This window comes from Homo sapiens, chromosome 5 (assembly GCF_000001405.40).
Source record: "Homo sapiens chromosome 5, GRCh38.p14 Primary Assembly".
Taxonomy (NCBI): Eukaryota; Metazoa; Chordata; class Mammalia; order Primates; family Hominidae; genus Homo; species Homo sapiens.
In genome coordinates, this window is record NC_000005.10 from 174670872 (window position 1) to 174685041 (window position 14170).

The 14170-nt window shown below is 43.7% G+C and overlaps 2 annotated features.

The window, feature by feature from the left end:
* Window positions 1255-1755: an enhancer, noted in NCBI's record as "H3K4me1 hESC enhancer chr5:174099129-174099629 (GRCh37/hg19 assembly coordinates)". NCBI's record gives its function as "activates a minimal SCP1, AML or CMV promoter by ChIP-STARR-seq in primed H9 embryonic stem cells {active_cell/tissue: H9 hESC(primed)}" and the evidence as "EXISTENCE:reporter gene assay evidence [ECO:0000049][PMID:30033119]".
* Window positions 10204-10727: an enhancer, noted in NCBI's record as "NANOG hESC enhancer chr5:174108078-174108601 (GRCh37/hg19 assembly coordinates)". NCBI's record gives its function as "activates a minimal SCP1, AML or CMV promoter by ChIP-STARR-seq in naive H9 embryonic stem cells {active_cell/tissue: H9 hESC(naive)}" and the evidence as "EXISTENCE:reporter gene assay evidence [ECO:0000049][PMID:30033119]".

Consider the following 14170-nt stretch of genomic DNA (forward strand, 5'->3'; position numbering starts at 1 on the left):
AGAGACTGCCTGATGTTCTCATCTCTGCCTTCGATTTTTCTTCCTTTCAATCCATACCTCCCCAAGGAACCCACCTTCCCCCGCTACTGAAGGCCAAGCACTTTCATCAGTGACTCTGTTTACTCAATCCAGGAGAGGGATACGGCCCGGGGTTGGGAGTCCTTCGGCTTTGAAACCACATGGAGACCCCCTTCCCCTATATCAGGCCTGGGTCTGTCATCCTCCAGCCCCTGTCTCCCTGTACTAGAACCTGAACTTGGCACTTAACGACTCTCTTCTAGTTTCCCAAATGTGCCATACCTTTGCTCGGACAATTCTTCTTTTGTTTTGGCAGGTGTTTTAAAATACAGTAGGCATGCTACGGTGGTGCATGCCTATAATCCCAACACTTTGAGAGGCTGAGGTGGGAGGGATGCTTGAGGCTAGGGGTTCAAGACCAGCCTGGGCAACACAGTGAGACCCTGTCTCTACAAAAAAATACAAAAATTAGCCAAGCTTTGTGGTGCATGCCTATAGTCCTAGCTATGGGAGACTGAGGCAGGAAGATCGCCTGAGCCCAGAAGTTTGAGGCTGCAGTGAGCTATGATTACTGCACTCCAGCCTGGGGGACAGAGTGGGACTCTGTCAAATAAACTAAACTAAACTAAAATAAAATAAAAAACGCAGTAACGCCATTAGGAATAATATTAAAACTTCCCATATCACATAACATTTTGTATTTACTTCCACTCATTTCCTTGAAAGAAATAAAATTAGAGAAAAAACTAAATTCCCCTTAACCATCTACCACCCATTTCAATCTCTTCCTTCCAAGAAACAAAGAACATTCTTCCAATTCATTTTCTTAAACTTTTACATACATGTGTATTAAAAAAATCCATTACTGGCTACATGTCTATGCAAATAGCATTTTTGTAATGTGCAATAATGAAGCCATATGCATGCCTATCATCTGAGAGGTAAGATGCAAAAGGGTAGACAGAGAGGTGAGGACGTTTTCCTCCCACCGCCACATCCAGGGTCCCAGTTAGCCTTTCCAGGGACAGCCACTGCTCCAAGACCATCTATCTGTCTGGCACTTGCATTTGCCTGGATTCCTAAGCCTCCTTAGAACTAACTGCCTGGTTTGTCCTGCCCCCTGTAAATTTCCTTCATCCTCAGCTGAGTCCCTCAGACCCTCCTGTGTGTCCACCCCGTGCCCTGTGCCCCTCACAGGTTTCCCTCCAGCTCCTATCATGCTGACTCAGCCCCACCCCGGCCTGGCTGGGTGAGGGGCTGATATCTGAATGCAGTCTAGAAAGCGAGGCCTTTTCCCAGCCAGCCTGCGCACCTCCTGGGCCCTCCCATGCCTCGAACAGAGCCGCTTCTGACACTGGCTTTGAAACCCCTTTGCCAAAAGCCTTTCATTAGTCCTAGCAAATTGCTTTGCCGACACGTTCCCAGAGTATGTCTCAAACCCAAATGGCGTATGTCTGTATTTGTGCCTTTATTAAATCTAGATCAAAGATTAGTTTAATCCAGGCAAAGTTTTTGAGCTCACCTTAGAGCAAGTAAAGAAATCATTTTTGAGAAATTTGTTTGTGCGACCACTGCCACTATCACTCAGGAACAAACAGGCAGATTTCTGTAGGGAGTGTATGGGAAGTCTTTGCTGGAGGCAGGACTTCTGGTGTGAAAGTACCTAGGAGAACTTGTGAGGGTAGACCCCGACCCCTGACCCCAGCCTCCCAAGTTGTTTTGAATCTTAAGAGAGAGAGAAAGAAAAATATTGATTTTCTACTTTAGTTCCCAAAGAGAAAAGAATATACTATGATATTAGATTTTCTAGAGCATAACTTTTTAGTATTGCCAAGTTATTCCTTTGTTAATGAAAATTGTTACTCAATTTGGTGCAGCAAACTTTTAATGAGCATTTACTATGTGCCAGACACTGTGACAGATTTTTTCATCTAGTCCCCCTAATTATTATTATTGCTAGAAACCAACTGTTATAGTCAGTGGAGTCTAGACCAATCACTTCTTGTCTGTGACTGTTCACTTCCTCACCCAGGGATAAAGAGTGAAGGGCGTCACTTAACTGGTCCAACCCAGCCTTGTTCTCCCTACTGGTAATGGCTCCTTAACTTTTCCTTCTGGACACTCTCTTGCCCATCCGCAGTTATATGGTTTGGGTTTTAAGGATGCCCTGGCCCATCCAATTATTTTATTTTTTATTTCCATAGGTTTTTGTGGAACGTGTGGTATTTGGTTACATTAGTAATTTCTTTAGTGGTGATTTGTGAGATTTTGGTGCACTGAGCAGTGTTCATTGAACCAGTTTGTACTTTTATCCCTCACCCCCTTCCCACCATTTGCCCTCTGCCCCCCTCCCCGCGGCCAGGACATTTTATCATTCTTATGCCTTTGCATCCTCATAGCATAGCTCCTACTTCTGAGAGAGAACATACGATGTTTGATTTTCCATTCCTGATAATACTCTCCAGGCCAGGCGCGGTGGCTCACACCTGTAATCCCAGCACTTTGGGAGGCCGAGGCAGGTAGATCACGAGGTCAGGAGCTCGAGACCAGCCTGGACAATATGGTGAAACCCTGTCTCTACTAAAGATACAAAAATTAGCCTGGCATGGTGGCGGGCACCTGTAATCCCAGCTATTCGGGAGGATGAGGCAGGAGAATTGCTTGAATCTGTGAGGTGGAGGTTGCAGTGAGCCAAGATCGCACCATTGCACTCCAGCCTGGGCAACAGAGCAAGACTCCATCTCAAAAAACAAAACAAAACAAAACAAAACAGAAAAAAGAATAACACTCTCCAATCCCATCCAGGTTGCTGTGAAACTGGCCCATCCAATTAGAGCGCCATTGCACTCCAGCCTGGGCAACAAGAGTCAAACTCTGTCTCAGGAAAAAAAAAAAAAGAATGCTGCCATTTTATAAAAGAAAATAATATATGGATGCATACATATATAGATACTATGTGCTGGTATAGACATAGAACATTTCTGGAAGGAAGGTTAGGAGTGAGAGGGAGATGTACTCTTGTACTTAAAAAATTATGTACGTATTATTTTTAAAAAGTACATTACCTTGGCCATGGAGATTGGCTCAGCTTATGGACACAGAAGGTCTGAGGCAGCCAAGAGGGAAACCAAGCCCTGGAGACGGTTGTGCCTGAAGCCAGACCTTTGTCTGTAACCAGATCTTTGCCTGTACTTTTTAATTATGGTCCCCAATATATTCTGTCTTTTTTCCTAAGCCAGTCTGAATTGGGTTTCTGTGGTTGCAACCAAATGAGAGCTTAGAGTAAGTATGCCAACCTCACAGGTATCGGTGAGGCTATCAAGCAAGGTGAGACACCAAGAGAGAGCCCGGAGAGCCACTTTGAAAGTGTTGATTTCCGGCCGGGCGCGGTGGCTCACACCTGTAATCCCAACACTTTGGGAGGCCGAGACGGGCGGATCACGAGATCGAGACCATCCTGGCGAACATGTTGAAACCCCATCTCTACTAAAAATACAAAAAATTAGCCGGGCGTGGTGGCGGGTGCCTGTAGTCCCAGCTACTCGGGAGGCTGAGGCAGGAGAATGGTGTGAACCCGGGAGGCGGAGCTTGCAGTGAGCCAAGATGGTGCCACTGCACTCCAGCCTGGGCGACAGAGCGAGACTCTGTCTCAAAAAAAAAAAAAAAAAAGAAAGCGTTTATTTCCTTTCTGTACTTTTTGAAGATTAAGCACACGCTTGTGAGTCAGGTGTCAACTCTTCAAATCTTCTGTTTTTTAGCAGTGTAATTTTGGGTGAGTTACTAAATCTTTTGGTACCTTTACTGCTTCATCAGTAAAATATCAATAAAAAACATCTCTTTCAAAGGTTGTTGTGAAATGCACAAACACACTTAAAATGCACTTATAACAATTTATCAGCCAGGTGCGGTGGCTCACGCCTGTAATCCCAGCACTTTGGGAGGCTGAGGTGGGCGAATCACCTGAGGTCGGGAGTTCGAGACCAGCCTGACCCACATGGAGAAACCCCATCTCTACTAAAAATACAAAATTAGTCGGGCTTGGTGGCACATGCCTATAATGCCAGCTACTTGGGAAGGCTGAGGCAGGAGAATCACTTGAACCTGGGAGGCGGAGGTTGCGGTAAGCCGAGATCGCGCCATTGCACTCCAGCCTGGGCAACAAGAGTAAAACTCCATCTCAAAAAAAAAAAAAAAATTATTACAAATTTATTACACAGGGTAAATATTTCAATATCTGTTGGCACTCATTATAATCACTGGAGGTAAGAAGTCAAGCCCTTCTCCTGAAAGCTACAATGCCACAATGTCTCACGTTGGGCCAACCCAGGTAGAATGAACCCATCCCCATTTACTTTGTTCCTGAGTGTTCAACAGACATTCCTTCCTCTGAGCAGTTAATCATGACAATCACCTGGTGAGTGATGAAAGTATCTGTTACCTTTTGTTGCCTTTGAAAGTCTTGCTCCAGAGATCCCAATCCCCTAAGATCACTTTCATTTTGCAAATGTTACTTCTCTGAGACATGCGTTTCACATTCTCTTTTTCAACAAGGGGTACCTCATTTAAAATCCATTTGATGAGTTATTGAAGAAGACAAATATATTTTATAATCCCTTTCTAATGAAAAATAAATAAAATAAAATAAAATGGAAGAAATAACCTCTCTGAGCGGCTGCCTTAAGGCATCTAATCCTCACTGTCAGCTCCCAGAGAGATCAACTTTGAATGTTGGATTCAGAACCACGTTCTTAGCTTGATCCCCCTTAACCTTCTGGACCCTGGAGAGACCTCGTGGTGCAAGTAAGAAAAGACAGACACTCTAACAGGGATGGAGATTGTTGGTGAAAAAGAGGGCCAAAGTTCAGCCTTTGTATACATCAAGGTGCTGGACAAACAGCCCCAAGACCTCCAAGCCATTCTAAACAAACAGCCCAGGTGGTAATCTAACCTCTCTTGGACTGGAGTTCATGCATGGGTCGACCATTTCTGCTGGTCCCCAATGTCACCGTGGAAGAACTTTATGAAATGTGAGCCGACACAGTCATACATTGCTCTTGTGAAGGTCTGCCTCTGGCTCACCCTTAGAAATTAACTCACACAGAAATGACTGAGTCAGCTTTTGGGTTCATCCCTGGAGAAAGGAGCCTGGAGTTTGAGGGTAGTCCACAAATAGGAAGTGGTGGAGGGCAGGAGAGGAGGGAGTGGAGCAATTATCTGGTGAATCTGATTAATGTAGACAGCTGGGGGCAGAAACTTGACCTCTTTGCCTATTGAGTAGCGAGGACACAGTGAGTGTGAAACGGACATCACACCTGGATACCTTATAGTGTGTTTCTTCCAAAGGACTCAGAAAGATTCTTTTCCCTTCTACAATTTCATGGCGTGCACACAGTGGCGTCACCATTCTTATTATTATGACTGAGAAACGTCCATGTCCCCAGTCCTGGGCTGGGCAATTTGCACACATCATTTCAAAACCTCTTCCGAGCTCAATGGGTAGGGAGGGACCGTTTTCTGCAGTCTCTGAATGAGGAAACTGAGGCCAACACACATTCTGAGTTAGTATCAAGCTAGTAATAAAACACAGGTCTACTTTTTTAAAAATTTTTACATCGTGTTTTACTTTTTAAAAATAATACATACATAATTTTTAAAGTACAAGAGTACATCTCCCTCTCACTCCTAACCTTCCTTCCAGAAATGTTCTATGTCTATACCAGCGCATAGTATCTATATATGTATGCATCCATATATTATTTTCTTTTATACAACGGCAGCATTCTTTTTTTTTTTTCTGAGACAGAGTTTGATTCTTGTTGCCCAGGCTGGAGTGCAATGGCGCCATCTCAGCTCACTGCAACCTCCACCTCCCGGGTTCAAGCGATTCTCCTGCCTCAGCCTCCCAAGTAGCTGGGATTACAGGCATGTGCCTCCATGCCCAGCTAATTTTTTTTGTTTTTTTAGTAGAGACGGGGTTTCACCATGATGGCCAGGCTGGTCTAGAACTCCTGACCACAGGTGATCTGCTCACCTCGACCTCCCAAAATGCTGGAATTACAGGGATGAGCCACCACAGCCGGCCAATGGCAGCATTCTTTGAAAACTGATCCACTTCTGGCATTTTCAGAAATGTGTTATTACGGAAACATGCCAAACATATACAGAAACAGATGAAATAGTAAAATAAATTCCCATCTATCCATCACTCAGCTTTGACAAACGTTTGTTCTCGTATTTACTCTTGCCTCCACCTTACTTCCTACCCACCCCACCCTGCTCTGGACTTTTTTGAAGCAAGTATCAGATATCATACTATTTTAACTGTAAATAGATCAGGTTATATCTCTGAAAGATAAAGATCCCATTTACAGTATACACACAATACTATTATCATACCTTTAAAAAAGCAGAACCTCCTTAATATGTCTTGGAGACAAGGATGGAGCTCACGTGCCCACATAAAGCTACCTCGTTCATATGAATGCCACACCTGATCAGGTCCCTGCCAATCAGCATTCAGATTGCGGCCAGTTTTTTGCCACTGGTGAGCCATATGACATTGGCTGGGCACAGTGGTTCACGCCTGTAATCCTAGCACTTTGGGAGGCCGAGGTGGGTAGATCACCTGAGGTCAGGTGTCCTAGAGAAGCCTGGCCAACATGGCGAAACCCTGTCTCTACTAAAAATACAAAAATTAGCGGAAGTGGTGGTGGGTGCCTGTAGTCCCAGCTACTTAGGAGGCTGAGGCAGGGGAATAGCTTGAACTTGGGGGGCAAGGGTTGCAGTGAGCCAAGGTCGTGCCACTTCCTTCCAACCTGAGTGAAAGAACAAGACTCTATCTCAAAAAAAAAAATCAATATTTGATTATTTTTGACCTACAAAAATAACAATTTCATATGGTTCCATGTAATACAGGCAATGTTGCAGTGAGTACCCATGTACATATCCTATAAGAGTTGGGTTATAAGAGAAATGGCTGGAACTGGCATATCTTTAGCAGGATACTAGCTTTCCTACTAAGAATTTGGATCACCAAGGAACAAAACAAAACAAAATTCCAGGGCTTTTAGCATTGAACTAATCTATCTTTCTGCTTCCAAACACTCTCCGTGTACACCCAATCTGTCTGCTAATGTGATCATTTCCACAATGTCCGTCTGATTGTGTCATTTTCCTGCTTGAAGCCTTCCAAGACTCCCCATTGTCCTTAGAATAAAAATTTAATCTTAACCTGGCATTCAAGGACATTTACAACCTCATCCAACCTGTTTTTCTATCCTAACCCTGCCACTTCCCTATATTTCAGCCATACCAACTGACTTACCATTATCCAAATAAGCAAATCCTACTATAAAATTGTTGTGCCTTTGCCCAGGCTATGCCCTTACTCTCTGGCTGGAGAACTCCTATTCATCCTTCAAGACCCAATTCCACTGTGCCCTCATCTATGAAACCTTCAGAGCCTTCCAGATAGAGTCAGGAATTCTCTCCTCTGTTCAAGAGATGATTCTACATTAGGTTTTAAGTTTGTATGTCTGTGGTATCCACTAAAGCATTGATCTCTCTCCTGAACAGCACATCCTACACTCAATAATTTTACTAGGTATGTGATAGATATCTACATGTCAATATCTAAAGAATTTTGTGGCTTGGATTTAAAGAGAAAATGGTTGAAATATCATTGAACTGCTTCTTTTCACGCAAGCTTGTCTAACTCGCTTTATTTTGTTGTTCCGTTTCATTTTGTTCTAGGCTTTTAGCAGCCTGAAGCCATGGTTTTTAGTTTTTGTCTCTAGTGATAAGCCAAAAAGAGGGATGAGGAAGGGGCTTTACTGGCTCAGGCAGAAATAGAAACTAAGAACCCATGACTGTATTCTCTCTCTTGGACACCCCTGGGAGTCAGTGGGTTATTAAAAAGATCCTCATTCTCTGAGGATTAGCTCCTATGCTGTGCCCATCTCGATACTTCACCCATCAGAGGGGTACCAAACAGGGCCAGGAAGGGGCTCACCAGTAAGTTTTTGGAGTTTGGAATTTGCTGAGTTTTGTTTTACTAGCTCAGTTGGCTTTTTGTGCCTTTCGTAATTCTCTGCTCTATATCTCTCTCTGGTAATCAAATCCCTAACTACTTGCCCTCCTGCCTTTCTACTTTTTTTCCTTTTCTTTGTTTTTTTTTTTAATTTTCTTTGAGATGGAGTCTTGCTGTGTCGCCCAGCCTCGAGTGCAGTGGCGCGATCTTGGCTCACTACAACCTCCACCTCCCTGGTTCAAGCAATTCTCCTGCCTCAGCCTCCCAAGTAGCTGGGATTACAGGCACATGCCCCACGCCTGGCTAAATTTTTACTTTTAGTAGAGACAGGGTTTCACCATATTGGTCAGGCTGGTCTCGAACTCCTGACCTCAGGTGAGCCACCTGCCTCGGACTCCCAATGTGCTGGGATTACAGGCATGAACCACCATGCTTGGTCTTTTTCCTTATTTTTAAAAATACAATATAATATTTGTTAATAGAAAAAAATGCTACTGATGACCAACAAGAGGAGACTAAAAAAATTGTGACATATCCACGCAATGGAATACAATGTAGCCATTAAAAAGAATAAGGCCACGTGACATTGCACATAAGTGCATACAGTATGATTCTGTTGTGTCTTTAAAAAGATACACACATATATAATATATATATTTTTATTATGCTCTGAATTTTTTGAAGATCACCTACAAACTATTAAGTATATGTGGCCTGAAGAATAGGGATAGTGATTGGGAAAAGTAAAAAATATCATTTTTCATTTATGGTCTTTGGGTATATATTTTGAATACAGAGTAAAAACACAATATATTTACTGTATAAACTTTTGAAAACATGAAAAATAAAAAGATGATAAAAATCTCTTGCAATCTCACCACTGACTGCCACTGTAAAGTTTTTTTTTTTTTTTTTTGAGACGGAGTCTCACTCTGTCACGCAGGCTGGAGTGCAATGGTGCGATCTCAGCTCACTGCAACCTCCGCCTCCTGGGTTCAAGCCATTCTCCTGCCTCAGCCTCCTGAGTAGCTGGGATTACAGGTGCCCACCACCATGCTTGGCTAATTTTTTGTATTTTTAGTAGAGACGGGGTTTCACTGTGTTGCACAGGATGGTCACAAACTCCTGACCTCGTGATCTACCCGCCTCGGCCTCCCAAAGTGCTGGGATTACAGGTGTGAGCCACTGCGCCTGACCTGCCACTGTTAATATTTTAATAAATATCTTTGCAGGCTCTTTTTCTGGTTTACTTATTTAACTGAAATAGTGAGCTTGGTCTTTGTAACTTGTGTTTTCCAATTATAACTAGCTCTAGCACATCTTCCTCTGTCACTGTGTATTCTTCCAGGCATTATTTTTGTAGGCTGCTAACGATTCATAGTTGTTTTACTCCCTTCCTCCCAACCACGCTTCTGGTCTTCATTCCTTCCAGTATCTGTTATAATCTCTGAGTTTAGCTGCAGAAGGTACAGCTGGCTGAAACACAAGGATGCTACTTCTAATCAGAAGTGTGTGCCTGACATGCTCACACACACATGGACACATGCTCCCAAACTCCTCCATGAACAGAAGGCTCAGTACACATCCTTCCTGTTTCCTAAGGACCATGCTCCTAAGCAGTGGATGCTTATGAAATGTTGTATTTCAGAAATCTCAGAGAGCTGATGGAATTTTGCAGACTGGATGGGCCATGGGGCTTATGGACAATGTTCACCAAAAGTCAAACAAACAAACAAAACCAAGGGGAATCCTAAAAAGTGAGGCATTCAGTCCACAAAAACAGAGAGTCCCTCCTGCACTGCTATTCAAAACCCAGTGGCCCAGAAGAGGGGTCCTTGTCTTTCAAAGGGAGCTTCACCTCAGCAGCTTTCTGAATGCCTTTACAGGTCTTCTCTAGAGGTCTTCTGAATGCCTTTGGGTTAGCATTTCTTTCTGCAGGTCTCTGGAAGATCTTAGCTTCAGAAACTATGGGAGGAGGGGTCAGAAGAAAGAAAAATGAGACGGGAGAGATTACCTGGGTGACAGCCCTTTCCAAGCCTGCTGCTAGGGGTGAATGAGCTAATAAAAGGGTTCACGTCTTAATGGGGCAAACCCACAGCAAACAACAAGTCACATGCTCCACAGCAAATAGCAAGTCACATGATGAAAGACACAGGCCTGAGGGTCTGGGGAGCAGGCCCTTCTCACAGGATCTGCAAGTTCTTCTGGTTGAGTCTGGAATGTAAGTACGTTGATCCCATACCTTCGTCCCTTAGCCTCCCAAACCAGGCATCCAAGAAACCTTCCAGCAACCCATTCTCCTTAAGAATAAGTTAGGGCTACACTGAAACCTGTGCCCTAACACACATAGAGTCAATGCTTTGGGGTCTAGGCATATATCCTGATTTGTTGTTGTAAATACAGAAAGCTCAGGGATTTGTTACAGTCATTCACTCATCGTTGGCCCCCTGCTGCTACTGGCCGCCTGGCTGCTTGTCACATTTACTGAACACCTATTGTATGCCCAGCACTTGCATTTACCTGGTGCAATAAGTCTTTATTGACTGTCTACTGCATTCCTAGCCTCTAATAGCCAAGCAGAAATACTAGTTAATGGGCACCTACTGAATGCCTAGAATTAGGATATGTCAACCGATGAAAAAAGGCTGTATCAAGTGCTTACTATACACCAGGCAATTGCTGATGAAACTGAGTGCTCTCATTCCACACTGCCCAGACTGACCACAGCGATGTGAAAATAATGATAGTGATAACCAGTCCTCACTCTGAGGCAGTTTTTCACTTTGGAGCTGGTTTAGTGGACCATCAGCATCAGAATCACCTGGGTTATTTGTTAAAAATACAGATTTTTAAAGCCCACTACAGTTCTGCTAACTCAGAATCTCGTGGGCATGAGCCCAGGCATCTCACAATTAAACAAGCTCCCTGGGTAAATCTTAAGCACAATGAAGCCTGAGAATCAGTGTTTTGGGGTCTGGGGCGTATCCCATGATTCAATGTACTAAGTGCAGAGAGGTCAGGGAGTCAATACAGTCATTCACTCATCTTTGGGCTCAGTGATCCTCCTGAAGAAAGGGAATCTGAGATCTCAGCTGACTGGTGGGGAAGGTCAATGACTGATAATCACCAAAAGAGGAAACACCAGTGACCAACTAGCATACAAGAAAAGTATCAATGCCTCAGACACCAAAGAATATACCTGGAAAGAAAAGATCATTTCTGCCTACCCAAATACCAAGCTTTTAAAAAAATAAAACCTGGCACTGGCTGTGGGATAAAACTGAACTTGTGTGCTATTGCTGGTGTCCTACAGTGATACAAATGTTTTGGAGTACAAGTTGGTATTATGTATCAAGGGCCTTAAAAACATTACCCATAGCAGGCCGGGCACAGTGGCTCACACCTGTAATCCCAGCACTCTGGGAGGCTGAGGTGGGCAGATCACCTGAGATCAGGAGTTCAAGACCGGCCTGGCCAACGTGGTGAAACCCCGTCTCTACTAAAAATACAAAAAAATTAGCCGGGCATGGTGGCACATGCCCGTAATCCTGGCTACTCCAGAGGCTGAGGCAGGAGAATCACTTGAACCCAGGAGGCAGAGGTTGAAGTGAGCCAAGATCATGCCACTGCACTCCAGCCTGGGCAACAGAGCAAGACTTTGTCTAAAAAAAAATTCCTATAGCATAATAATTCCATTTTTGGGACTCTATCTTGAGGAAATCACATTAATCACAAGCAAAAAAAAAAAAAACCCACCTTTCTGAATGATGGAAATCATTACAAAGTTATTTGTAATGTTGAAAAATAGACAACAGGAAGGAACAGTTAATAAATCCATGGAGGGGTCAGGCATGGTGGCTCACACTTGTAATCTCAGTGCTTCGGGAGGCCGAGGTGGAAGGATTGCTTGAGGTCAGGAATTAGAGATCAGCCTGGACAACATAGTGAGATCACCGTCTCTACCAAAAATTTAAAAATAAAAATGAGCCAGGCATGGTAGCACACTCCTGTAGTCACAGCTACTCCAGGGGTTAAAGCGGGAGGATTGCTGGAGCCCAAGAGTTCCAAGCTGTAGTGAGCTATGATGGTGCCACTGTACTCTGTCTGGAAAATCTAAATATAAATAGATAAATAAATCCATGGGGCTTGCTCGGTATGGTACCTTAGAATAACATTGACAGGTAGCTTATAAACGTGTGGAAATTGCTTATGTTATGGTGTGATCCCATAGCAAGAAAGAACACACTCAGGTAAGATTAGAAGGAAATCTATTAAACTTTAGCTGTAGTTGTTTTTGGAGAGCAGTGTTGAAGTGATTTTTTCTTTCTACTTTTCTGCTTGTTAAAGAGCATATACTATATTTTAATAATTTTTTTTTGAGACGTTGTTTCGCTCTGTCTCCCAGGCTGGAGTGCAGTGGCCCAATCTTGGCTCACGGCAACCTCTGCCTCCTGGGTTCAAGCTATTCTTCTGCCTCAGCCTCCGGCGTAGCTGGGACTACAGGCACGTGCCACCATGCCTGGCTAATTTTTGTATTTTTTGTAGAGACAGGGTTTCACCATGTTGGCCAGGCTGGTCTCGAACTCCTGACCTTGTGATCTACCTGCCTCGGCCTCCCAAAGTGCTGGGATTACAGGCGTCAGCCACTGCACCCGGCTTTTAATAATTTTTTTTAAAACTAGCAAACAAATAAAAACATGCAAGCAAGTATGTTTATTAAAGAATGAAAAGCAACATCAGACCTGGCCACAATGATAGTTATTTGAAGTCCAGCTCCAAAATGCAGTGCTACTGGCTCCCCGGAGAAAAGATGAGCTTGCTATAGGAAGCTTGGGTGACTCAGTCCCTTTCTGTATTGTCTGTCCAAGGCCTAACATGCTCACAGCAACTTCTACCAAGTTATCAGAACCAGCAGCAAATTCATCTCTATGTTTACAAATTTAGGGGAGAGAGATTTTTATCACTTCATCAACTAACACCCTTTCAGTTCCCTTCTACATGTTTCTCTCCAATGATAGACGTAATATTTACTAGAAGGCTATTATAACAGCCGGGCGCGGTGACTCATGCCTGTAATCTCAGCACTTTGGGAGGCTGAGGCAGGTGGATCACCAGAGGTAGGGAGTTGGAGATCAGCCTGGCTAACAGGGTGAAACCCCGTCTCTACTAAGTATACAAAATTAGCTGGGCATGGAGGCGCGCGCCTGTAATCCCAGCTACTCAGGAGGCTGAGGCAAGAGAATCGCTTGAACCCGGGAGGCGGAGTTTGCAGTGAGCCAGGGTCGCGCCACTGCACTCCAGCTTGGGTGACAGAGTGAGACTCGGTCTCCAAAAAAAAAAAAAAAAAAAAATGCTATTATAACGGCCAGGCGCAGTGGCTCATGCCTGTAATCCCAGCACTTTGGGAAGCCGAGGTGGGCAGATCATGAAGTCAGGAGATTGAGACCATCCTGGCTAACACCGTGAAACCCCGTCTCTACTAAAAATACAAAAAACATTAGCCAGGCGTGGTGGTGTGCGCCTGTAGTTCCAGCTACTCAGGAGGCTGAGACAGGAGAATCGCTTGAACCCAGGAGGCAGAGGTTGCAGTGAGCCCGAGATCGTGCCACTGCACTCCAGCCTGGGCGACAGAGCAAGAGTCCATCTCAAAAAAAAGAAAAAAGAAAAAAGGCTATTATGTGCCAGTTAGCTTCCAATTGACCTCCAAGATTGATATTTTAAAAATAAATTTTATACTGGTATACATTACATACAATAAAATGAACTCATTTTAAGGGTAAAGTTTGATGACTTTTGATAAATGTGTACAGCAGTGGAAGCAGCAATATCATCAAGGTATAGAACACTTCCACGTTTCCATGACCCCAGAATGATCCTTTGTGCCCCTTCTCAGTCAATTCCTGTCCTTCCCACACAAAAAGCAATCATGTGCTGATTTATTTCACCATAGGTTAGTTTTGCCTGTTTTTTTAACTTTAATGAATAGGATCGCGCACTGTGTACTCTTTTTTTTTTTATTTTGCTCAATATTATGTTGTTACATGTTGGATTTTGTTTGCTCCCATTACTGTATAGTATTTCAATGTATGAATTATACAACAATTTATTTAGGCATTCTACTGC